General features: G+C 41.6%; 1 protein-coding gene across 5 annotated transcripts; it reads right to left on the bottom strand.

Annotated features, from left to right (window-relative positions):
• SPP2 (secreted phosphoprotein 2) lies at nt 1-26,433 on the bottom strand. 5 transcript variants are annotated; one of them, NM_006944.3, is made up of 8 exons: nt 26,264-26,433; nt 26,040-26,164; nt 18,177-18,299; nt 16,656-16,766; nt 10,548-10,602; nt 9,861-9,911; nt 7,112-7,207; nt 1-290 (listed from the first exon to the last, which is right to left on the bottom strand). In NM_006944.3, the coding sequence occupies exons 1-7, from the start codon at nt 26,346-26,348 to the stop codon at nt 7,122-7,124; spliced, it is 636 nt and encodes a 211-aa protein (NP_008875.1). In that variant the 5' UTR covers nt 26,349-26,433; the 3' UTR covers nt 1-290; nt 7,112-7,121. The 5 variants fall into 5 exon arrangements, with proteins under 5 accessions (NP_008875.1, XP_011510001.1, XP_011510000.1 ...); XM_011511699.4 differs by having other exon boundaries at nt 1-110; XM_011511698.3 differs by lacking the exon at nt 1-290 and adding an exon at nt 2,106-2,675.

Raw genomic sequence — 27,521 nt, 5'->3', positions numbered from 1 at the left:
TTACAGGAAAAATAAGGCATTTATTACAGATTGAAACTGATCAGAAGAAAAATCACAGAATTCACAAAATCATTCTTTGTTGGAACTTTTCTTCCTTCCATTGCATTTTGCTGTTAAGAGAAAAGGAGTGTGAGGGTCAGACCACCGTGGCATGCGTTCACATTCCAGCTTTGGAGGCCAGGGACCCAGGACTCCTGGGAATTATTCAAAACCAGATCCGATGATACCAGACACTAGAGCAGCTATGCAAAGCAGCAGCTCCTTGAACAAACCAAAAGGGCGAGGGACACCTGCAGGAGGAAGAACAGGTAACTGGGTCTGGGGAGCAGATACACAACCCCAGAAAGGAAGCTCAAATCTCTCATAAAGGGAAGAATCAAAGAGACCCCAAGCAGAGGCTGCAGCCAGGTGTTGGGCCCCAGGCAGGTCTATGAAGGTGTTTGTGGTGTGAGGTAAGGAAGGAAGGAACCAAGCAAAAGCAAAAGAGTAGGTTGGCCACAGCTGCCACCGTGTGCGGGTGTGGGGCTGGAGATCAGGATACGCCATCCAGCCATTCATCCATTTATCAGTTCATCTGTTCAATAAACATGTATGCACTGAGCATTTGCTGGGGGTTACAAAGATCAATGAGGCATAGTTTTGACCTCAAAAACCTCCCACAACCTAGTGAAGGGGGTGGAAGTAGTTAGAGTACAGCTTGATAAATGCCAATTCCAGAGACGCCTATGTGCAGGAAACCCGAGGAAAAGGGTTCCTGAAGAGGGCATGTAAGCTGAACTCGGAGGATAAGATGGGGCGGGGATACTGTATCCCAGCAGAGGGGGCCTGAGAGTGGAGGTGAGACCCAGACTGGGACCCCGGGAGAACAGTCAGCTGTGTGAGGTTCTCCCATGTGACTCGGGAGACAGAAGCAGCACTCAAGGCTGGGGACAGTGGGCGCACACTGTCGGGTGTGTGGGCGAGGACTGTTGAGGCTCACACTCTGAGGGAGCTCATCCCCATCCTCCAGCACAGCAAGACCCCAGACTCATTATAAGATGACTCTGATGACAGTGCACAGGTGCCTTTGAGGGAAACAAGACACAGCCACCAGGAAAATGCTGAACATAGCAGGCTAGAGATGCAGCTGGAACTGGAGCCAACAGCTCGAAAAGGACAGAGCTGTGAAACATTTCGGAGCAAGGATTAGCAGACCTCGGTGACCAACTGGGTGAGGTGGGGAGGAGGTCTGAGATGCATCTGCTTCAGGCCTGGGGGACCTTGGAAGATGAGTTGGAGACAGGGGGAAGAGTGAGTCTCCGAGGGAAGAATTGCATTTTGAACGTGGTGTGGAATACCCAGACGGAGGTGTCTGGCAGGCTGCCATTGATTGGAGTCCAGGCTGGAGGGACAGTGTGGAGGAGAGGGGGAAGAATCCCCAGACAGCTGGGTGTCAAAGCCCTGGGGGTGCTTGGCATCACCCAGGAGAGGGAAGGCCATGAGCAGAAGGAGAGCTGAGGCTGGAACCCTGGGTAACATCATGGTTTCAGGGGCAGCAGGAAGAAGCCGGTCTGTGAAGAGTAAGAAGTCTTGGCCTGAGAGGGGACCAAATCTCAGAGGTCAGAGGGTTTCAAGAAAGAAGGAGTGGTCACCCACATCCAACGCGGCCGTGAGGTCCAGGAGGAGAAGGGGTGGACATGGGGATAGGACAGCAGTGAAGTGGCTACAGAGCAGGGCGGTGACGGGTGCAGGAGGAGAGACTGCCTGAGGCCCTGGGGAACTAATGCAGATGGTGTTTTTAAAAAGACAGGATGAGAAGAGATCAACGGAGAGTAATGAGAAGCTAGGGATAAACGAGGGGCCAGGAACCCACTCAGCAGTCAATCCTCATTAGTCACAGATGCTGTATTTGTGAATTCGCCTACTCACTGCTCACTAACAGTTATTTGAAACCCCAAAATCAGTACTCATGGTTCTTTCTCACTCATTCTCAGACAGGCACGGAGCAGCAAAAACTTGGAGTCAACCTACCCACACCTTCCCAGCTGAGGTCAAACAAGGCAACGCTCTGCCTCCATGTCTCAGCTCTCCTGCTGTCAACAAGTGTCCTTTTCACGGTCTATTTAGTGCCCCATTTTTTTTTTTTTTTTTTTTTGCATTTTTGTGCTTTTTGTTGATGACGTCACTGTTTAAAATAGCCCCAAAGTATAGTGCTGTCAAGTGTTTCTAAGTGCAAAAAGGCTGTGATGTGCCTTACAGAGAAAATGTGTGTGTTAGAGAAGCTTCATTCAGGCATGAGTTATAGAGCTGTTGGCCAAGAGTTCATTGTTAATGAGTCAACAGTATCTATTAAATACGGCATCTAAACAGAAACACACATAAAGCAAGGTTATAGACTAATCAGTTGAGGAAAACGTTGGGAACAGAGGCTCAGAGAATTCTAACCCTGCATTGCCTATATGAGCAATAGTTTAGTATTCACTAATTCAATGTTTGAAGCAGCTTTATAGACCATAGCTGCCTCAGATAATAAGAACCAACTCTACTTGGTGCAGCAATTAATACAGTGTCCTGTGAATGTGAATCAGAGTAAGTGTAAATGAATACAACTGCACATAGCCATGTCTCTGCCACTGGAGTCTCGGTTGGATCTTTTCTGTCTTCCGTGGGGCATCTGGCTCTCTTCAGTAGGGGGGCTGTCAAGGGAGACCATGACAAGAAGTTGTCACGAATGAGTCTGACACCTGAAAGTGGAAATCACTCAGAAAGCTGGCGGTGGTGGTGCAGGTTTTAGGGACCGGTCCTTCCACATAGTTGATGATAAGCAGATATGTTGCTAACACTTCCTATCAATTAAAGTCTTTGCCATCTAGTTGGTGACTACATTTCTAGTTTCACCCAACGCATGACAAATGCTTCTTAAACAAATAAGTCTTGAAGTTTTGCCCTCTCATACTATTTTTTTAAATACAGAGATATGAGAAAAACAGGGAGGAAAAGGGAAGAGGCTTTGGAAACAGACAGACATCAAGAGTTCAATTCCAATCCCAACATTATCTCTGAGGGCAGGGGCCTCTAAATGCCTCTGCTTCCTCCTCAATGAAACAGAGAGAATAAAACTTCATTTGATTGTTCCAAGGTTTATGCAAGAGAATGTATGAGATGGGTCCAAACACAGGCCCAGGCATACTTGAGAGCTGTAATATTCATGGGCACAGAGGCCAGGCATAGAGGGGCATTTAATGAACATTTGTTGAATAAATGGATAAAATCATGAGAATGATTCTTTTTACTGTGCCCTTATTGACAAAAGGCCTCAATAAGAACTGCCCCCTTTGCTGCTCTTGGGCATAGTTTAGGAACTTCACACTAATAATCAAGATTGTGACATAAAGAAAAATGCATCACTCATGCAGCTATGGTTTGGGTGCTGAGGGTCTTCTGGCCACTACATAATTGAAAAGTCAGAACTATTCCAGCTACAAAGATAAGAAAGTCTAAGATTCTCAAAGAGATTTTTTCAACATGAGAGTTGGGACCTGATTTTCTACATTTCCTACCTTAGAGCAATAAATAAGAAAAAAATTCAGAGTATTTTATTTAAATATTACATTTCACTATCTACTCATATATTAAATCATTTTCTGGCAACATGAAAGAGTCCTAGAACAGTGTTTAGGGCTCTGGGGATTTCATAACAAATAGCCCAAGTCTCTGCCTTCAAAGAGCTTCCCAGTGGAAAAATGACACTCACAATTTCAAAAGAGTAATTTTGTTTCTGGTCATGCACTCATTCATTCTTCCCTCCCAATCTGATTGATTGTATTCTATACACTGTTCTTAGCCTTATGAAATGGACAAAAGATATTTTTAATAATTTTGTATAGACATATCATTAATAATATTTTTACATGTTGTAAAACTGCAATAATTAACAAGGAGAATGCATCCTCAAGAAGTTTATGGTCGGCCAGGCGTGGTGGCTCATGCCTGTAATCCCAGCACTTCGGGAGGCCAAGGCAGGTGGAGCACTTGAGGTCAGGAGTTTGAGACTAGCCTGGCCAACATGGTGAAACCCCATCTCTACTAAAAATACAAAAATTAGCTGGGCGTGGTGGTGGGCACCTGCAATCCCAGCTACTCACGAGGCTGAGGCAGGAGAATCGCTTGAACCTGGGAGGCGGAGTTTTCAGTGAGCAGAGATTGTGCCACTGCACTCCAGCCTGGGCAACACAGCAACACTCTGTCTCAAAATAAAAAGGAAGCTTATGGTCTAGTATGGACAAGAAAAAGCAAAAAGTAATAATAAACCCTTGAAGGAATTGCACCCTGAGAGGTTAAGGAACTGAATCACCATTACAGATGGGAGAGCAGGCTCAGAACCAGGCCCGTGGATTCCAGATCCCATCGGATTGACCTCCTCACTAGACCCACTATGCCGGCCTTACCAGCCTCATTCTGTGATTTCAGGGAACCCAGCACAGTGTAGAAACCTGCCCTGCTAAAGGTCATGGGAGGGCAGAGACATAACTGGGACTTCAGTCAAATCCAATGTTCAGGTCAGGGCTGCAGCTGTCTTTAAAAATAAATGTTTTGAGTGATCAATTTCTTCATAAAAATCAAATGATGAATTTATATTGCAATACACATATGTATACACATCCAACGTTATCATATTACTAATAAACAAAATACAGCCAATCCATTGAGAACTCTATTCTCCCTGCCCATAACCCATGATGTTCTGTAAAGAAAAAAAAAAGATATCATTTACATTTATAAAAAAGGAATATGATGCATCTGTTGCTTCATAATGAGTAGATTCTTGATCTCAGTATGGAGCTGGTTTTTATATTTAGAGTTGTGCCATACATTAAAAAGAAAAGCTACCATTTGTGTCTTTCATCCAAGAAGGCCTCAATGGTGAATTTCCCTTCTATTTTAGTAAAATGTCAGTTGATTTCTTTCAAATTTCAATGGTTAAAAATTAATTATACCATGCTTAACTGATGTTTTTGGTAAAAGGATTTCAAGAACCCAAAGTGAAGGATTTCATTCACTTAAAAAATATTTACTGAGTGCTATTTATTGAGTGTGCTGGGCTGTGTGCAGGGCACTGCGGGACAGTGGCAGTTGAAGTTCCTTGAGACCTCCTCTTGGGAAGTCTGTTAGTCAGATGGGTGACAGGAAACAACCAATGGCAGTGCCCTGTGATGAGGAACCTACAGAGGCCCAAAAAGGGACATCATCTCTGATTCAGTGGTGGTGGTTTGTGGTGTCAACGTAGACCTCCAAAGGGAAGTGACAACTGAGCTGGGACCTGAATGGTGAGGCAGAACTAGTCAGGTGGCTGGTCCCAGTAGAGGCAGCAGCCAGAGGAGCTGCAAGTACCTCAGTGCCTCAGGAGCTGAGCGGCCAGGTGAGGCTGGAGATGTGGGCAGACCCAGGTCATGAAAGCCATTGTGAGCTACACTGGGAGTTTGGACTTTATCCTGAAAGCATGCAGTGTTATGCAGACTGTAAAGCCCGTGAACACTCCAACTTCATTATTAACTTGTGTGTGCACATGTGCGCATGTAAAATACCTATGCATGGAATCGACATCTATAATTCCATCTTGAGATTCCTCTTACGTGTGCCCTTCATGATAGCTACATTTGCTCCAATCCCATCCCTAGTAACTGGGAATTTATACTCATGTGAAACTCTATGAAGCTCAGTGCCAGTATGATAAACCAGGACTCTGTCTCTAGCTTTCTATAGAACTGGGGCAGATAGGCTGTTCCTCCTCTTGGCCCAGTGTCTGGCTGTTGCCCACCTCTGCTCAGTCCCACAAGTGAAGCAAGCATTAGTTTATATGGGGCAAGGATCAGAGTCTCCTCCATGTTTCACGATAAACCTGAGGACAGCAAGCAAGGTAGACAGTATGGGATCAGAACCTGATGCAAGAATACAATCAATAGTTCATTGGTGATGGTAGTGAAGTGATGGAGCAATGCCAGAGAAATGTGGGGGTGAAATGAATAAGACTGGACCCCAATGTATGTTCCAAGAAGATGAAGGATGAAGGGGAGTCAGTGATGCCCTCAAGATTTTTAGCTTGAGCAAATTAGGTGGATGGTAATGCCATCAATTAAGAAAGGGAGCTTGTCAGGAAGCTAGTTGAGTTTCAGGGACACCCAGGATACACAATGGCAACACCACCCAAGAGGCAGTTATAAAGGCCTGGATCCAGACATAGAGTGTGGTAAGAGACATGTGTTTGGAAATAATTATGCATCATTGATAGTTAAAGTCAAGCAAGAAGAAGAGATAAAAGAGTAATCTACAGCATAGGGAAAGAATTAAACTAAGGAGATCATACGAATGCTCACCAGTATTTAAAGCATACGTCGGCCAGGCGTGGTGGCTCACACCTGTAATCCTAGCACTTTGGGAGGCTGAGGCAGGCAGATCACCTGAGGTCAGGAGTTTGAAACCAGCCTGGCTAACATGGTAAAACGCTATCTCTACTAAAAATACAAATATTAGCTGAGCGTGGTGGCAGGAGCCTGTAATCCCAGCTACTAGAGAGGCTGAGGTGGGAGAATTGCTTGAACCCAGGAGGCAGAGGTTGCAGTGAGCCAAGATCATGCCATTGCATTCCAGCATGGGCAACAAGAGCGAAACTCCCTCTCAAAAAATAAATTAATAAATAATAAATAAAGTACACATCCAGAAAAGGAAGCTAGATGAGATTTCATAGATGTGAGGTGAGGAGGTTGAGGAAGCAACCAGAGACCGCAGTTGTGTCAAAAAGTTTAGCAAGGAAGGAAGGACGGAGGGAAGGCAGTTGCTTAGATGGATGAGATGGGCCAAAAGAAGGGGCTGTGCCCTTGTTGTTTGTTTGCTCCTCACATGGACAGACTTGACCACATCAGTGGCAACAGATACAAATGTCATGGGAAAAAGATTGAGGGTGCATGAGATTGAAGAGGCAATTGAGGAGAAGTCTTGGGAAGGAGGTCAGAGAAGCCGAAAAGCAAGGATTTGAATAGCATATTGCAGATATTTGAAGGTCAGCAGTTTTAAGGCGTTCACTCCACGTAGCTTCTATTTCTAAATACACTTGTGTGCACCTGCATTTTCTTACCTCAAGGCCGTTACTCAAAGTCAGTATTTATTCTTGCTCTGTGCCGGTGGTTTGGGTACCTTCTGTTTCCAGGAGGCAATACCCTTCTCATGATCCCTAAAGATAGAAAAGGGAAGCATAGGCTCTGTCAGTCACATCAAGATCTGAGACAGTGTGGACAATGTTACTACAAATTAATGAGGAGGATTGTGACAAGCATAACCTGAACCCATCTGCCATGAGAATACCTGAGGGTGCGATAACTTCATCTTCCTTATTCCATTCTCTCTCCTTCTCCCCCGTGTTGTGTTTCAGCTTGGTCTAGCGCTCATTTCTCCCCACTCCTTATTACTACATGTGATGTCTCAGCCACCATGGATGCCCTGGAGGGCAGGAACTGCCACATTTATCTTTCAGTCCTCCAAGGGATCTACCCAGTGTTTGTCACACACATTTATTGAATTAAATTAAATCATCATGTTCAAAGCAGTCTCCAAGACAGCCGCACTTCTGTGTCAATGATGCTCCCCCAGGCCCAATGTGTTTTTAGATTTTGGCTTAGAAATTTCTTCTGAGATATATAAAAGAATTGGTCACATTAATTTATAGCCATATAATATTTTTAGTCCCAAATGGCATTTGTCCAATACAATAATCAGTTTCCAAGATGGCTTCCTGGTATTCACACTCCTGGGCAGTCCCTTCCCACATTGGGGCAGGATTGGCCTGTGTATTTAATAATAGATTATGCAGAAGTGATGATATATCACTTCCAAGATTAGTTTATAAAAGACTGTGTCTTCTGCCTTCAGTGCTCTTGCTTGCTCATTCTCTCTCTCTCTCTCTCTCTCTTTCTCTCAAATAATCATCTCTGGGGGGATCCAGCTGTCATGATTTGAGGACATTCAGAAGTCTTATGGAAAGGTCATATGGTAAGAAACTGAAGCCCTTGGTCCAACAGCCTGTAAAGAACTGAGGCTTCCCAACAACATGTGAGTGGGCTTGGAAGTGGCTCCTTCAACCCCAGTCAAGCTTCAGATGAGATCACAGCCCAGTCAACGTCTTATCTGAAACCTTTTGATAGACTCTGAGCCAGAACCACCCAGCTAAGTTTCTCCTTGGTCTTTGACCCTCAGAAACTGTGAGATAATAAATGTGTGTGGTTTTAAGCTGCCACATTTTGGGGTAATTTGATATATAGCAATAGATAACCAACACACCCAAGTTGATTATTAATCTGATTAATCAGATTTGTCTCCAAATATCTTTTGAATATTCCCAACATCAAATCCAAGGGCAAATGTTTGCCACCAGTACGGAGATTTAAAAAAAAAAAAAAAAAGCCATGGATTCTGAAGGCAATTCTAAAAGAAAAGCTCATAAAAACGTTTCAGCAGTGGTCATGCTGTCATAATAACTGTATATTCTCCCAAAGTGACAACTTGGATGAGATATAAAACAGGCATTAAAAAAAAATCAAGCATCAGGTTATAAGCTCTAGCACTTCAAATAAACTGGAGTTTGCCTAATGAAGGTCAGACTTTGAGCTCATTGAAATGTTAATATCTCTGTTATTCATTTTAATGGGGAATGCTGAACATCAGGTGGATTTCGCAGTTCTTCTGGGAGGCAGCATGAAACAGGCACAGGTTTTAGATTCTGACAAATCTGATTAAAGTCCTACATTGGCAATGTAGCCACAAGCAAATTACAGGAACTCACTAAGCCTCAGTTAGCTCACCTACAAAATGGGAAAGAACATAGTGCTACCTCACAGAATGTTTGTGACACTGAAGAAGAAAATTGTGTTAGGCAATTAGTACAGGGTAGACAATTTGCATATGCCATTTAATGCCATGAGTTCTTACTGCTTTATTCGTCTATATAAGCAGGTAACACACGTGGTTGACAGGGCTATCATGAGGACCAAATGAGAAAACTGATCTGTACAGGAGAGGGACAAAATAACTTTGTTTCATCCATTTGGTGAGAAATTTGGTTGAGTATGGCAAAAAGAAGATCATTAGACACATTGTATGCCTGTATCAAAATATCTCATGTACCCCATAAATGTATATACCTCCTATGTACCCATAAAAATTAAATTTTTTAGTTTAAAAAAACAAGATTATATTAGAGTTCATGCTACTTTTTAAATGCTCCAGAGAGTGTCAGAAAAAAAAAATGGTGAATGCTTATTTCCTGAGCCAGATTTGATATTTTGATTCTTGGTAACTTTTTTTTTTTTTTTTTTTTTTTTTTTTTTTGAGACGGAGTCTGGCCTCTGTCGCCCAGGTTGGAGTGCAGTGGCGCAATCTCGGCTCACTGCAAGCTCCGCCTCCCGGGTTCACGCCATTCTCCTGCCTTAGCCTCCCGAGTAGCTGGGACTACAGGCGCCCACCACTACGCCCGGCTAATTTGTTGTATTTTTAGTAGAGACGGGGTTTCACCATGTTAGCCAGGATGGTCTCGATCTCCTGACTTCGTGATCCGCCCGCCTCGGCCTCCCAAAGTGCTGGGATTACAGGCGTGAGCCACCGCGCCCGGCCTCTTGGTAACTTTTAAGTCAGTTAGTGCCTCAAGGCTACCTTTTTAATGATTTGCAAAGCAAGTTTATACATTACTATTCTTTTCCTTTTTTACTTAAAATATTTTGTATTTCAGAGATTTAACTCCTATGAAACAGGAAACAGCTATGAAATAGGATTTCTCAGGAGTCCAGATTGATCAGAAAAGGGTCTGGTGGCACAGCAGGAAAGAAATCACTTACCAAGTGACCGATCATAAAATTGTTCACTTATGGACTCGTCTGAAATGAGACCTGTAACACAGTAATAATCATAAGACAAGACTCCTCTCACTGTTCCAGAATGTTCTATGACTTTACTGTTAATGCCACAAATATGCTTCTTAAGCAAAGAAGCAGTGAGAGATCACCATTGAGTTTTATTGCCGTCAGCACTAATAGGAAAAATGCCTCCTAAATCATAGAACACTAACCCAACCCACTTTGTATTAAAAGCCACACAAGAAAAGAAAGAAGGAGAGCCCTTCCTCCCTGAACTAAGACATTCAAAGAGATGATCAGATCTAGTTGTATGGCTGAAAGACGATAGAATTCAGACTGTTTACTCCTGATCCTCCCAGCTAGACATTCTTAAGGGGAAAACCAACACTGGCTCCGCTTACTTGGCAGAGATGTTGGGGCCATCAAATGGAATTATGTATGGAAAAGCTCTGTTGTGAATACAAAGGAATATCTAAGTGAATAGTTGTATCATTATTACCTAGTGATAAAAAATAAGCAAAAGCAAAACAAAATGTTAATTTTCTATGGCTGTAATTGTTGCAAGATTACATACATATGTATTTCTAGTTTTAAATGACTCACTAACAAAGAGTTGCAATATGGAGTTATTTTAAGAAAAAAAGTTAAAAAGAACAGATCTTAACTTACCAAATAGATAATTGTTTCTCCATTTATGAGATCCCAACATGTCCCCAAAAATCATCTAAAGAAATTCAGGCATCAGGATGTGTCAGCACATGAAAGAAAGAAAAAGGAAAGACACTGAAAAATGTAAATGTCATCTGGAAGACTCTGATATATGTTATATAATCCATTTTTAATGAAATAGGCAATACGTTATATTAAATAACTTTATATATATCAAACATATAAGTCTAAAAAAGCACATGGGGAAGAGCAAACTACGTGAAGTTTAAATTACCCACAGATCTTTCCCCTAGACTGAGAATGTACTCCCAAACATTGCCGGCTTCCAGAAAAGCAAAACCCTGTTACACAGACTTGCACACAGACTAAGTTTAGATCGAATTTTAGAGGTTTCTCTCTATAAAGTCACTGTAATATGTTCAGTAGGAAAAGGTGTCCACAAGAAGTTTTCATGAAACCACTAAAAGTCCATGCAATCATCACAAAGTAAAGTGGTTGCTTGGCTCGCAGTCTTTCTACCAAGAGTCTTGGTAGGCTGTCCTCCCTGTCCTGAACAGTCAGGTAATTTCTTGGCCTCCATCACAGTAGTTGGACTGGGAAGGGACACATACCAAGACAATTTAAGAGAGAAAGAACATTCTTTTCAACAGATAGTGCTGATACTACCAGATATGCACATGCAAAAGAATGAAGTCAAACCCCTTCCTCACAACATATGCAAAAATCAAGTCAACATGGATCATAGACCTAATGTAAGACTACAGAAACAACAAAACAAAAAATAGATAAACTGGAGTTCATCAAAATTTAATTTTGCTCTTCAAAGGGCACCATCAAGAAAGTAAAAGACAACCCATAGAGGGGGAGAAAATATTTCAAAACAACTAAATAAAAAGACAAATAGTGCAATTAAATCATAGGCAAGGATTTGAATAGACATTTCTTCAAAGAAGATGTATAATGGCCAATCATTAGTCGTTAGAAAAATGTAAATTAAAACCACAATGAGAGCTAGGCACAGTGGTTCATGCCTGTAATCCCAGCACTTTGGGAGGCAAGGCAGGCAGACTAGCTGAGGCCAGGAGTTGGAGACCAGGCAGGCCAACATGGCAAAACCCCGTCTCTACTAAAAATACAAAAATTAGCCATGCATGGTGGCACGCACGTGTAGTCCCAGCTTCTTGGGAGGCTGAGGCACTACAATTGCTTGAACCCAGGAGACAGAGGTTATAGTGAGCCGAGATTGTGCCACCGCACTCCAGACTGAGTGACAGAGTGAGACTCTGTCAACAACAACAAAAAAAACTACAATGAGATACCACGTCACACTCACTAGAATGGCTAAAATAAAAAAGACAGGCACCAACAAGAACTGACAAAAATGTATAGAAACTGAAATCCTCATACATTACTGGTGGGAATGTAAAATGGTACAGCTGCTATGGAAATAATGTGGCAGTTCCTCAAAAAGTTAAACATAAAGTCACTATACGGTCATTAAACATAGAGTTACTATATGATCCAGGAATTCTGTTTCCAAGAGAATTAAATACATGTGTACACAAAAACTTGCACATGAATGCTTCTAGCCTCATTATCTATGATAGCCAAAAAGGGAGAAATAAGCAAAATGTCGATCAATGAATGAATGGATCAATCAAATGTGGCTCTGTAAAACGGAACAATACAAAGGAATGAAGCATTGATGCATGCTACAACATGGATAAACCTCCAGAACATTATGCTAAGTGAAACAAGTCAGTCACAAAAGAATACAGGCTGTACGATTCCATTTGTATGAAATGATCAGAATGGACAAATCCATAGACACACAAAGTAGATTAGTGGTTGCCAAGTGTTAGGAGGAATGAGGAATAGAGAACAACTGTTACTGGGGTCTCTCTCCCGCGTGATAAAAGTGTTCTGGATTTAAATGGTGGTGGCAGTTGTGAATATGCTAGAAACCACTGAACTGTACATATTAAAAGGGTGAATTCTATGGTATGTAAATTATATCTCCACCAAAATGTATTTTTAAAGGGGGGTATCAAAACATCACATTGTACACAAGTAAATATATAAAATTTAAAATAAATTAATAATAAAGTTATATGTATAAAAGAACAAAAAGAGGGGACACCTAAGCCAGGCCAATAGAGGGAATACCAAGAGGTTTCTCTAACTGGCAGCAGAGAGAAATGCCTCTTTTCCCTCCTAAGTACAGAGGACATAAGTCTGGAGTAGCTTGAGGCTTTACTTCCTGCTGCAAGGGGAAAGCCTCTCTGCAGCAAGGGTGGACGTGGAGTGCAGAAGGCACAGTGACAGAGAGAGAGAGAGAGACAGAGGAAGGAGGAGAAGATGGAGGAGGCTCAGAGAAGGAAGGAGAAGGAGAGGGAGAGGGAGGAGGAAAGGGAGGAAGAGAGAGAGAGAAAAGGGAATGAGGGGGAGAAGGAAGAGGGAGGGGCAGAGGGGAGGGGAGGCCAGGAGAGAAGGGGAAGGAGAAGAATGTGGCACATACAGGACTGAAGGACTCTAAGTCGAGTTGTCCCTGAAGCCAACTTCTCTCCTTCCTTTCTGGGAATGTGATCCAGGGAATTACCTCTTTTTGGCTTAGACTACTTCTAGTTGAATATCTATCTTTTGAAATGAAAGGCAGTAAATAAATTAAATGCCCGTCACCCCTCCCGTAAGCTCAGAATTCCTGTCATCATTCTTCTTCAGTTTCTCTCTCTTATTTTGGGTCTCGTGTCGGAAACCCTAGCTGACTTCATCCTATCCGCTCCAAATCAGAAGGATTTGTCTAAAGTCAAGCTCACTCATTAGAAACTGAAGAAAGAGAAAGAGAGCTCCAACCTACAACTGTAATACATTGTACCATTTCAGCATCGTACTCCTGATGGGGCCTGCACCAGTACGAGGTTGAGTGAGTGCTTATGCACCATAAGGAAAGCTTTTATCCTCTACACATTTCAATTTCGGGATTGAAAAAGAAATAATAAAAACTACCGATAATTCACCTATCTATTTAGTTAACTATAGGAGAATATTTGCAAATTTAGAAATTTATTTTCTCAATTTTTTATTGTTACTATACTTTAAAAAATTATGTCATGGAAAGTCCAAATATTTTATATTCAGGGCTTTCATTATGTCCTTACCAGACTTACTCTAAGTCCTTATTAGTCATAATTTGGATTTTGGGGCTTATTTGCCATGGCTTCCATTTTTCTTTACCTTATATTCCTTACTCTGGAAATTCTTCTACATTCTCTATATGTTTTTCAAGTGATCTTTATTTTTATTACTCTGGGAGTTTTTTTCAGTTTTATTTCTTCTATTTCTTCCTTCCAACAATAATTTATTTGTTCTATGACTAAATGTATCCTAATCTAATGTCTTTCATATTTATAATATTGCCATTTTTTTTCACTGAGAATGATTACCAGCTGTTCTCTCATTTCTTCTCTGTTTCATGCAAGAAATTCATTTCAGAGTTTCCAGGAATTACTTAAGTCTCTATCTGCTTTCTTCTTGTCTTTCAAATTGTAGAATTTTTTAATTTGAGAATTTTTAAAAATAAATTTGCTCAAAAATGTTTATGATCACCTAACCTTTAAGAAGAAGCAATCAGAGAGTTTATTTTAAGATCTAGTTTTTTACAAGGGCTAACTTAATATCTGAGTCTTCTTAGAAAACTTGGAATTGGAAGAAAAGAGAGTGGTCTTCACTATGCAATTAGAAAGCTGCAACAGATTTGTAGGCTTTGCAAACAATCAGAACCCACTTTCCAAATCAGGGTGGAAGAGGCGTTAACTTAGCTGGCCATTTACTAAATTCATTTTGTGTTAAAGGTCATAAAATGAACCAGAATCCATTTCTTTCAACATTCACTACTAAGCCCTAGACCCAGTTAGCATTCTCTCTCACCTCTTATTTATTTCATATTTACTCCATATTTATTCTTACCTAGTTCCAATCTATTCGTCATCTGATTCTGTTACCCTCCTCTGCTCCCAACACACACACACTTAAAACTCTTTCATAGCCCCTTTGTCTTTAGGATAGAGCCAGGCAACCTCGACAAGACCCTCAAAGTCCATCTTGACTGCTAATGTTCCTCCAGCTCCACCTTGTGCCTCTCTCCCCATGTTTTTCTCATTCCTGTTGTAATGGAGTTCTGTCCATTTCAACCCACCAGCTTTCCTGGCAATTCAGGGTACCCCACCTGATTTCCCCTATGCTTGAAATACCCTTCCCCCTCCACACTCTGCCCTGTTTGTTCTGACTTCTACCCGCCTTCCAGTTCTTGGCTGGAAGGTCAGTTCCTGGGGGAAGCTGTCTGCTCCCCAGGTGACATGCATTCCTCTCACTATGTGGCCCCCAGTGCCTGCCTGATAGGGTAATTCCTGCTTAGTGGGCACCTTTCCCCAAGACGTGTCTATAAACTCCACAAAGGCTAGCACTGTGCTTGTCTTCCTCCCCACTGTCTTTTTTCTCATATGAACCACAAATCAAGATTAACAAAAGACTTGTGAAGTGATAAGCTTGGTCCTTGTCATTTCTGGTTAGCGGGGCCACAGTGTATGAGTGTGTTACAGCAGAATGTATTTGACTTCCTAAATATTTCAATAGGGTCTAAGAAAGGAGGCCCATGGTACTCGCCCCAGCCCTGAGAAAAGAAGATTCTTCAACTATGGCTCCAGGACAAGTTCAGAGGTCACCTGGGGGTTGACCTTCGAAAGTTGCCAGTGTGACGGGATCAATCAATAAGGCCGTGCTCAACTGAACTTTTTGTGGAGAAAGTCCTAATAAACTGTGTTAAGTTCTCTTTGTACCAATAAGGCCATCCTCTGCAATAGGAGTGTCTCAGTCATTAGTTTCATTACTTTCTAATTCTAAAATGTACCTCCAGAAGAAATAGTTAAGGCAGGAGTATATTAATTATATGGGAAAATTAACTTTTATGTGTAATTCTTGAAGTAGAAATTTTATAATATTTTAATGTAATTTTCACTACAGAGTTAAATCTTGAAAAACTGAACAAAAATATAAAAAGGAAAGAAAGATTATGTTAGAATCATCCATATAATGTTGGAAATATTTAAAAATATCTGTCAATAATATTATCCTATTACACATGAACAAATAATATGTCATGTTTTTATCCCTAGTTTAAAGTGAAGAGATGGCCTCTTCTTATCATATTCTTGTCCATTTCTTCCCCAGTTTTCTTGCATTTATACAACAAGTATTTAGTGAGCTATGTCAAACATTGTGATGCATCACACATTGTCCTAGACTGACAAAAACAAACATTCCCTGCCCTCATGAGACATACAGTCTAGTATGGAAAGCAGCCAATAATTGGACACTTATATAATATAATTTCAAGGAAAAAATGTATATATTATTAATATTACAGTATTATTGCAAATCAAACTTTCAATGCAATTGAGGAAAAATAAGGGTCCTGCCATCCATTGAGTATCCCAGTGCCAAGCCAGATCCTTCATGTCCATCAGCTTACTGGATTTTCTCAACAACCTATAAGGTGGTCTTTATGACTGCTAGCATTTAACAGATGAAGAAGCCATGGATCATGAGGGTTAAATGAAAGTCAAGTATCCTGACCTGGACTACAGAGCTGAGAAATAGTTTTGAACACTGGTCCAACAAAAATGTCCTTCTTGATTGCACTAAACCACAGTGCCAGCGAGCCACATACTTAGATCTGAAACTTTAAAGGTTTGTTAATTTTACTTGAAGGCCATTTCCCAATCCCAGGGAAATCAAGTGTGTGTGCGTGTGTATGTGTGCGTGTGTGCATGTGTGTGTGTGTGCGTGTGTGTGTGTGCATATGTGTGTGTGTGTGAGAGAGAGAGAGAGAAAGAGAGAGGACATACACGAGTGAAAGAATAAGCTGGGAGAAGTAGGGGATGTGGACAATGAGGCTGTAGGTGTCCAAGAGAGAATCCCACTGTGTCAGCAGAGTTCGGCATCCCCAAGCCCAGGTGATGATCCAGCTACCCAGCAAACCACTCTGTTTTTCACAAACCCACACAGACCCTAAGAGGTGCGGTCTGGGAGGAGACAAGGCCCCAGTCATACCTCTTCGCTGCTGTAAGACTCAGACGTGGAGGAGGACCAGCTGCAGCGAGCATGCACGCCCTGCACCTGCTGGGCAGATACCTTCACGGTGCTTCTGCAAACAGCTGTGGACTGGAAAAGACAAAGGGGTGAGTTCTCTCTTCAGCTGTTTGTGGAAAGGGATAGCCTCCATTGAGTAAATCAGGAAAATAAATGTCAGGTTTGACGAAATGACAAAGAAAAACTTCACAGAGGCATTTTATTTTTTCAAAATGAAAATTCCTCAAGACCGAAGCAGAAACAAATGGAATATTTAAACATCTCTTTGCTGTTTGACCCATTACAAGTCTCTAGGAAACGCAAACATTTCCCCCATGAGTGCTAACTGGGCTGCCCTGAGTCAATTTTCATTCGGACAAAAAGAAATGACGAAGAACCCCACAGGACTTCACTCTCTTCTTCTTTGCCCTCAGATTTCATTAGAAATAGAAGCTTGTGACACTTTGGTATGAGTCCTTTGTAAAACAGAGTCACAGTGAGTAGTTTCATGAAACAAATAACAAATCAAACATCCTCTTTTAAGTAACAAAACCCACGAGCTTGAACCTCAGAATGCAAACACTTTGGAAAACAAATTTTGGACTGCTGGTGTTGCCCTTTTCAGATGGGATTATTGCCCATGGGTGTTGACTAAGTGTCTGTGGAGACTAAAGCTATTCCACCTTGGATGCCAATCTGCCATGATGACTTCTGATTAACCCGTTTCTGGGAATCCCTCTAAGATTTCCACTTTCATGTGCATACCATAAATCCTGGCCTTGGGTCAAATTCCCTACAGTATGTAAGCCCTGGATCTGGGAGGTAATGGCACAGGGATCCACTGTCTCACCTCCACCCAAGACATGCATTCTGTTTGTAAGTCCCTATGAAGTGTTTTTTGTTTGTTTGTTTGTTTGTTTGTTTTTCCGAGAAACTGGATTTGGGAGCCTCTTTCTTCAGCCTCTCAGCTCCCTTGGCCTTTGGGGTTAGGTTTTCATGGTCCTGCTTACCACGGAACAGTGCTGTACATGTTCTGGTCATGAGAGACACGAAAGCGAACATGCCATGTTCCTGATCTCACTGAGCCTGAACTAGTGGGGAAGACAGATGTCATTCAACGGTCAATGGCAAAAGAACGTGACATGTGCCAGGAAGAGTCAGTGTTTCATAATCCTTTGTAAGAGAATTTTAAGTGTGTCTGGGATTTGTCTCTGGTGTTGTATTCACTTTACCTGATACAAATTCATCCTCATGTTAAAAAGCAGGAAACTGAGGCACCAGGGATAAAGTAATTTGTCAGGATCACTCAGGATCTCAGACTCCACAGCTCAATGTTCAGCCACGGAGTAACACTTCCCCCACCAGGGGACACAATGTCCACATGTTAGCAGTGTGGCCAGATGCTAGCCAGGCAGCGACCAAGTTCTTTGTGTGACTCCAGGTCATGGAAGAAGTGAGGCTCTTCCTTTTGTTCATTTCTGGGATGGGTCTCCTCCCACTTACCACATAGTAGTCCCTCTGGAAGGCACATGTAGCGGGATCTTCTCCAGAATCCTTCCTGCATGTAGTCTCCCGGATGCTGAACTCTAAATTCATGACCAAGTTGTTCTCATCTAGGACCTCAACCTTCACAAAAATAAAGTTTCAGAGTGTGATCAATGCATTTCTGAAGTTTATGATGCTATAAATCATTGTCTCTACCCCATAAGAAAAAAATTACAGAATTGTCCACCATGAAAGCAATAAATTATCTTAGCAATCACCTAGTTCCGTGCCTTTCTTCTGCAGACCAGAGAGGAAAAGTGACTTAACAAAGTCGTACAATAGTTTAGTGACGAAAATGGAACCAGAATGTAGGTGTTCTAACTCCAAGGCCAGTATTGCTTCTAACACTTTACAGTGACAATTGATCCTCACTGTTTGTGGATTCCATATTGGCAAACTCACCTACTCACTAAAATTTATTTGTAACCCCAAAATCAATACTAGTAACACTTACTTTGGCAATCATCTAGGGACAAATGCAGAACGACAAAAATCTTGAGTCACCCAACATGCATGTTACCAACAGGAGCCGAACAAGGAGACATTCTTCCTTCTTGTTTCAACTCTCATATTGAAAACAAGTGTGCTTTTTATGGTCTATTTCGTGGCTTTTTTTGCATTTTTGTGCTTTTTGTTAGTAGCTTTATGTTTATGATGGCCCCCAAGCCTGGTGTGGAAGAACCCACTAGTGTTCCAAAGCACAAGGCTGTGATGCAGCTGACATGGAAAATATGTGAGTAAGGTAAGCTTTGTTCAGGCAGGAGTCACAGTGCTGTTGGTCGTGAGTTCAATGTTAATGAATCAACAATATATATTAATTTAAGCATCTTTAAGCAGGAACTCACAAAAACAAGGTTAGTATTGATGGGTTGATGAAAATGTTGTGACCCAAGGCTCACAGGAACCAAACCTTCTATTTCCCCTAGGAGCAATGATTCTGTGTTTGCTAATTCAGTGTTCGTGGTGATTTTATACAACATAACTACTACAAGTAAGAAGAATCAACTGTCCATATTTCTAAGTGTCATTTTCCTAAAAGACTGCTCCATAATTTTTTAATAATTCCAGAAATAAGTAATTGAGCAACGAGTGCTCTCTGCAGTACAGACTATTCTCCAGCCCTAGCTTCCTGCTTGAGCAGTTCTGATATGTGAATGAGTTTAAATGATTTTCTTCTCCTTTCCACAAAGGAAAATAATCTAAACTCCATGACAAATCTGGGGAGTTCTGATGTCACAAATTCCTGTGACTTCTTGAGTACTCACTGTGTGTTCAGCACCAGAGGCAGAGCAGGGAAGATGCCCAGTGGCTTAAATTCCAGAGGAGGTGCCACACAGTGGACACATCAAAGAAAACTATCCAAGATCATCCCAGATAGTTATGGGGCTATCAAGAAAAACAACAACATGGCAATGGGGGTGAGGGAAGGAAGCAGCTGTTTTAGAGAAAATGCCAGAAAAATCCTCCCAAGGAAGGCAAATTTAAACTGAGCCTTGAAGGATGGGAAGAAGCTCATCCTGTGAATAGAAAGCAGAGCCAATGCCCTGGGGCAGGGACAACTCCGACTCTTGTGGCTGGAGCAAACCTGACCAGGGCAGGAACCATACACTGTGACTTTGGAGAGATGGAGCGTGTCAGGTATGGTCTTGGAGCCCACGGAAAGGTGTTTACATTTAATTCTCACTGCAGCGAGATGCTATCACAGAGTTTTAAGAGCAGCACGTGAATCACCGTGGCTGCTGCAAGGTAAACAGATTGGGGCAGGAACAAGGGGGCAGCAGGAAGCCAGTGGGGAGCCTGCCACGGTCCAGTACCTGACAACACCCCCAGGATCCAAGTCACTTCTTGCCTCTTAGTTTCTGAACCCACCTTGCAGCAAATTGAAGTCAGCAACACATTGAACGTACTGCCCAGGGAGGAGAGAGATGGAGGCAGCGCTCTTTCTGTGAGAGCGAGAACTACTTACAAGTAGGGAATAATAGGCACATGCAGAACATTTTGTTTTGGAAAAAAAGTGGCAAAACTCCAAGCTGAGGACGGGGATCTTTATGTCTCCTAACATAGGACACATAATGAGTGCTGATAAAAGTAGAATTTTCTGAAAACAAGTAGAAATAAAAACTCAACCTCACCATTAATTACTACCTCATATACTTATAATTTTAATATATTGAACGTTAAATCTGTGTCTCATTAAAAAATTAAAAAATAAAAATCTCTCCCATCAACTGAAGTCCATTGTTTGGGGCCCTCCACTGCAGGGTGAGCTTCAGCAATTCACCTAAAAGCAATTTGATGGAAGCAACTGGCAACACAAAAGCTTAGCTGAAAAGATGAAAATGTGAGTTTTTTGGGGGTACAGATCATTTTATTGAGCTATGAGATAACTTTGCAACCTCTTTTGCATCTTGAAGGGGACTTTCAAGAATAGGGAGAAACATCTAACATTTTTGCTGTTTCATTTGAACTCACTTTCTGCCAGTAAATTTCTATTCTGTGTAATTCAAGAAATGTGGGACAGCCTAAATGCTGAACAATAAGAAGTCAACTCATTGTGGTTTTGATTTGCATTTCTCTGATGGCCAGTGATGATGAGCATTTTTTCATGTGTCTTTTGGCTTCATAAATGTCTTCTTTTGAGAAGTGTCTGTTCATATCCTTCGCCCACTTGTTGATGGGGTTGTTTGTTTTTTTTCTTGTAAATTTGTTTGAGTTCATTGTAGATTCTGGATATTAGCCCTTTGTCAGATGAGTAGATTGCAAAAATTTTCTCCCATTCTGTAGGTTGCCTGTTCACTCTGATGGTAGTTTATTTTGCCGTGCAGAAGCTCTTTAGTTTAATTAGATCCCATTTGTCAACTGGGAAGCGGGGAGGGATAGCATTAGGAGATATACTTAATGTTAAATGATGAGTTAATGGGTGCAGCACACCAACATAGCACATGTATATATATGTAACAAACCTGCACGTTGTGCACATGTACCCTAAAACTTAAAGTATAATAAAAAAACTTACCAAGATACTCATAAAATAAAATAATTCATTTCCAAAAAAAAAAAAGAAGTCAACTGGAGAAAATTAAAAACCCAGCATTATTGCTGAAACAAATTATGAGAATTTACAATCAGTATTACAGTATTGTCCTATTTTTCTTTAAAAATACATTGTATACCTTCATATGAATAAAAACACTCCAAAAGGATATCCTCTCATGGGTTTATAGTGAGTGTTTCTCAGATAAATGGATAATGAATGTTATTTTTCATTTTCCCTTTCTTGTATTTTTTGACTTTTTGTAATGATTACATTTTGGTTTTTATTTTTAAAAGAAATACAAATATATAAAAATAAAAGACCCATAGCAATTCCATTTGACAATTGTAATGGTTAATTTTATAGTGTCAACTTGACTGAACCATGGTGCCCAGATATTTGGTCAACATTTTTCTGAATGTTTCTGTGAAGCTATTCTTTGAATGGGATTAATATTTAAATCAGTGGACTTTAAGTAAAGCAGATGACCCTCCATTATGTGGGTGGGCTTCATCGAATCAGTTAAAGGCCTTAATAGAATAAAGACAGAAATCTTCCCATCAGAAAGGAATTCTGCCAGCAGACTGCCTTTGGATTTAAACTGTAAGTTATCCCTGAATCTCCAGCCTGCTGGCCTACCTCATCAGATTTTCTTTTTTCCTTTTGGACTTGCCAGCCTTTGAAATTGCATGAGGCAATTCCTTATAATAAATCTCTGTCTCTCTCAATGTCTCTCTCTCATATATTCATATGCATCCATTTATATATGTATGCATGTCATATTGGTTCTGTTTCTCTGGAGAACCCTCACTAATAGGGCATCAATGGTCACTTAGGTTTTTCAAATGAATCCCTTATTAATGGACAAAAAGTAAAGATCAGAAATGGCTAGCTGAGAATAATTTAGAAAGCCAAAAACCAAAAAATGCAAAGAGGTTGAAAGGTAAAATGGACACACAAAAAAGGCATGGAGACCTCAAGGATCCCAAAACTCCATGGCTTTGCCTCCAAATGTACCTCAAATCTATCTGCTCCCCGCATCCTCCCTGCCCTGACTTGAGACCCCACACCAGCATCTCACCATGATCAGTTTCTCCCCTCACACCCCACTCCACACAGCAGCTGGAAAGATTGCAATGGACTGTTTGTCCCCCTGCCCCAATCCGTATAGTGAAACTCTAATCCCTGATGTGATATTTGGAGGTTGGGCCTTTGGGAGGTTATTAGGTCTTCAAGGTAGAGCACTTATAAGTGGGATTAGCATCCTTATAAGAAGAGGCTGGAGAGTCAGCTAGCTCTCTTTCTGCCATGTGAGGATACAGCAGGAAATCAGCAGTCTGCAGCCCAGAAGAGGGCCCTCACCAGAACCAGACCATGCTGGCACCCTCATCCCAGATCTCAGCCTCCTGAATTCTGAGAAATAAATTGGTGTTTTTTATGCACCACCTAGACCATGGTTTGTTATGTGTTCGTGGTACTTTGTTACGGTGGCCCAAGCTAAGCAGAGATGTTTTGCAAATGCACATGTCCCTAGGGGATACCCATTGCCCTTAAAACAGACCTCAAACTCCTCAAAATCATGACCTAGGCATGTCCCACTCATGCCCACCTCTCTGACCGCTCTCCACTCCCACCTTTCTCTCCCAGGCTCACTTGGCTCTAGCCAGCCTCCCTCTCAAGGTCTTTCGTCCTTCAGGACCCTCCCACTGACTCTGCCAGCTCACCCAATATTCCTCAGAACGTCTTTCCACAGTGGGAACTTCTTGTCACTGGAGTGAGTCTTAGCTCAAAGATGCAGCATCAGAGGACACTGTTGCCCCATCTGACTGCTGCCCCAGGCAAGGCCTATCATGTCAACCTGCTTACCCTCCTCTACGGTACTCTCCACTATTGGAAATGAATTTGGTTTATTTAACTGTGTCCTCTTCCTCTTCCCCTTTCTTCCCCTTCCCCTCCCTCCCCATCTCCTTTCCCTCTCTTTCCCTGGTAGAAACTGCTCCCTATGAAACCACAGCCCTACTTGTCCTCTTTGCTTCCCCCTCCCCAGCATAGGGCCCAGCATAGGGCCAATGCCCACCTTTCCTTTCTCTGCTTGTGTCCACTGAGGGAATAGTCCAAGTGAGCCTAATGTCAAGGTTGGAGCAAGAAAACCATCAGTGCTAAAGTCGTGTGGATTTTTCCTTTCTCCTCCTTTCTCAAATTTGGAGCCCAGGAGGTGAGTAACTTGAAATCAATTAAAAGAATATTTGATCTAGGTCTGTTGGTAATACCCAGTGGTTCTTCACCGAGACCGCACATTAGAATGAGCAGGAGAACATTTAAGAATATGAGTCCCGCCCTCAGAGACTGGGATTTAAGGAGTCGATCATCCCTCCTGGACATCAGAAATATTTAAAGCTCCCGTGCAATGATGATGTGTAGTCTGAGTAGAGAATCACTGCACTTGGTAAGCAAACCTGAGGGCAAAACAGAAGGGCCCGACCCTTCTCCCTACAACCATTGAACTGTACCCCCAAATACTCATGACTAAACCACTTATTTGCTTTGAACATATTCTTAGAAGTGAAACTATGCAATTGAAAGTTTTAAATATTTACTAATTTAACGTTTAACATGCTAGTAAATATGTTTAACACATATTTCCAACTTGCTTTTCAAATACAATTTTACAAAATTCCAAACTCTCGAGCGGCAGTTGTGATGTTTTTTTCACCGTTATTCTTTTACCTTGTTATTCTTCTTTTTCACATTGCTATTTTAATTCTGCACTTTTCTTCTATTAGGGAGGTTGAATAGCTTTCCAAATCTTTCTTAGTCTTTTGTATTTCCTCTTTCGTGAATTGTTTGTAACCCCAGTGCTAGTGATCTATTCACTCAACTCTCTCCTGAGGGCTTTGCCTTTTAGTGTATCCCTCATGTCTGCTAGGGTAGAGAGAATTGGTATATTTGGAGCCATCTATAGGGTGTTTATAGAAGACATGGTTAATACACACAACATAAATCAAAATATGAAACACTCCCAATAGAAAAAAATATCACCAGGAGAGATCAAAGGAAGAGAATCTCCCTTCCAGTGGGAGAAGAAATAGAGTTCTCAACAAGAGGGCACGGTGACTGTAGCTTGACCAATGAATTTGAATAATCAGAAAAGGCAGGGAGAGGCAAGAATAGGCAGACCTCCAGGTAAAGGAGCAGTGTACTTGAGGTGGAGAGGCAACATTTTTCATGTGCTCATCAAGAGTCACACACATCGCATATAATTGTATCTATTTTTAGGTGCATGTGCGTCTGGGCTCAAGTCTGGGTGACTATACCAAGATGGCACATGAGCCAGAACACGCTCTGGTGGCTGTGCCTCACAATAGCTCATCTCCACAGGGCAGATTTCCACGGTGTCAGTAATTGGTTCTCTTGGGATCTATCCTCATGCTCTTATTCATCTAATAAACTGCTAACTTTCTTCTGTGGTGAGCAATAGCTAAATCAAAAGTAAATTTAAACTGTTCATCTGCAAGGTTGGCAAAAAGACCCCGATTCCACACCACCACAAGTGGATTTCATTAAATGCCAATGGAAACTGGCATTTGAAATACAATACAAGCAAGGAAAGGGGGTTCTGTATTCTGATCCAGGAGCAGCTCAACCTTTGGTGTGGCAGCTGACCAGTGCCTCCACACCACAACATCCAGAGCAAGTGACTCCACTCTGGCCATGATTCTGGAATGGCACCTAAAAAAAAGCATAGCCCATAGTCTTCATGAACTATAATCAAACTAGAAAATAAAACTGGGTCCTTTTGATTCATTTCCCTTGAAATTTGGAAAAGAGAAACTAGGAGCCAGGTTCTGAGGAAGATCAAGCTGAATATGTTGTATTTGGAGACTAGAACTAGGAAATCATGAGCCATGTGCTCTACAGAGTAGCAGAGGGAACAAGCTAAGAGTCAGTCCAGGAGGGATGGGAGAAGGCAGCAGGCAGACAGAGAGAAAGCAATGTCCATCTGGCCTCTGCTGCCTGGACCTTCAGCCGTGTCTTCATTCTCATTCCCATGCTGCCTGGCTATACAGAGCCTTCATTCCTAAGATGTGCAACTTTATAGAACCTCTCTACCTCCCACCTTAACCTAAATTTGCTTGAAAATATGTTCATCCCTACCTCCAAATGAGCCCCATGCAGATGATAATAAGGCAGTGAAATTACCTGGGGAACAGGAAGAAGGGAGATGACTTGCTGCTTATGTTTCTCATTTCCTTTGAAGGATATTTTTACATTTCTTTCCTTGCATATCACAGACTTAGTCATTGGAAGCCCAAGTGATTACTCTTTCTTTAGCTCCCAAAGCTAAGAGGAAACAGACTATTACCAAATTGACAAGGAAAGGTGAATTTCTTTGACTCAAAAGCCAGATTATTTCCAGTAAGTATTAGGAGCAGAACTGCTGAATTTGAAAGGAGGCTCATTTCCAATAAATGAGAAGTTCGTAATAAAACACCTCAGAAAGAATCGCGAGGACTTCAAGTACAAAAGCAGGCTGCAGGGAACCAGAAGACAAGGTTAGAGAGGAGAATACAGCAGAAGAATCAGTCATCAAAAGTGGTTTGGATAGCCTCATGACAAAAAATTGTAATTAAATCTTTCTCTGTCAAAGAAAAGAGACAGTATGAAAGAGATGACTAGCTACTATCATTTTTAAACTGGAGAAAATTTCTTAAAAGTATATCCAATGAACTGACAAAAGGCAGACAGCATTGGAAGGAGGAGTAGAGAAGATTTCATTTTGCACTTACTCTTTTTAATGAGCTTCTGAATGCCCGAAACAGATACGGACTCAGTGACTGGGAATTCACTTTTACCACAGAGGCACTGAGGGCATCCCTTAAGGAGGATGGATCGTAGTCGTACACTGGGAAACCTGGACACGCAAGCACATGGGGCACAGTGAGACAAGACACAGGCGCCAGCATGGCTCTGCATGATCCAGAGCAGGTGGCCAGGTTGGTGAATACCTTACCTGAGCAAGACCAGTAGTTCATTCCAAGAGCAAACATAATCAATATCTTCATCATCATCGTCATCTTCTCCATTCTGGAAATCATGATTGTAATCGAGAGACAGAGAGTGTCTCTCTATGTGTTTGGGGATGACAGTTCTTCCTAAGAGGAGCTGTCTTTATCAAACACTGGCTGCTTATTTTGACTGCAGCAATCTGTAACTTAAACAGAAACAATTGATCCTGGGGTCAATATTTTCTGCTGACTTTTCCTATGGAAAGGTTCCAGTTTGAGGACACTTTTGAAGTTTACAACTCACAAGAGAACTTTAGCCCAAGGCAAAAGGCATCAAGAGGCTCAGGATTCCACGTGTGCTGTTTATTTTTCTCTATTTTAATTTCATTCTTTGGAGGGGATATAATCTTACATTCAACAAAATGGTTAATCTTAAATTGTTGTGTATTGAGATCCCCTCATGGTTCTAAAGATCTTGCAGTTGACTACTTATGAAAATAGTGTGGGTATAAGATCTTCTTGGAAATTATGACTTTGGAGAAGATAATTTTATATAGGGGTCCTAAATATTCGAAGCAAGTACAAGTGCAGTAAAAAGCTGGGACACACCATCCTATTAACCAATCTTCTGTGCTACTGGACACTTTTGCACATCACCTGGATAATAAGGTATTTACATATTGATGATTCCCATGCACTGTAAGATCCCAAGGTAGTTTTTGAATGATTAAAAAGGAGAACTACTTAATTGGAAGTACAGTTTGTGTTGTATGTAGGTCATTGTGTTCTTATTTGTGGATTTCACGCATAAGAAGCTGTGTTTTGTCTCAGAAAGACCTGGACTGAGATCTTGGCTCTACCATGTACCAGGAGTATCCCCTTGGGCATGGCACTCAACACCTCTGAACCTCAATTTTCTCATCTATAAAATAGGCATAAATGGTTAGAGGTCAGGTGTGTTCTTAGTCAGGGTTCTCCAGAAAGGAGAACCAAAATATAGAGGGAAAGAAAAAGAGAGATTTTTTAAATATATACTTTAAGTTCTGGGGCACATGTGCAGAACCTTCAGGTTTGTTACATAGGTATACATGTGCCATGGTTGTTTGCTGCACCCATCAACCCATCATCTACATTAGGTATTTCTCCTAATACTATCCCTCCCCCAGCCCCCCACCCCCCAACAGGCCCCGGTGTGTGATGTTCCTCTCCCTGTGTCCATTTGTTCTCATTGTTCAACTCCCACTTATGAGTGAGAACATGTGG

Source organism: Homo sapiens, chromosome 2 (genome assembly GCF_000001405.40).
Source record: "Homo sapiens chromosome 2, GRCh38.p14 Primary Assembly".
Classification (NCBI taxonomy): Eukaryota; Metazoa; Chordata; class Mammalia; order Primates; family Hominidae; genus Homo; species Homo sapiens.
Note: the sequence above shows the minus strand (reverse complement) of the source record. Positions and strands in the feature narration are given on the sequence as shown.

Bases quoted from the DNA above. Each gene is read 5' to 3' on its own strand.
- SPP2 (NM_006944.3), bottom strand. From the start codon at position 26,348: ATGATTTCCAGAATGGAGAAGATGACGATGATGATGAAGATATTGATT. The intron at 16,767-18,176 runs GTAAGTGGGAGG...TGTCTTTTCCAG, and splicing joins TCCAGAGGGACTACTATGTG to TCCACAGCTGTTTGCAGAAG. The intron at 7,208-9,860 runs GTAAGTGATTTC...TTCTATCTTTAG, and splicing joins ATTTTATGATCGGTCACTTG to GGATCATGAGAAGGGTATTG.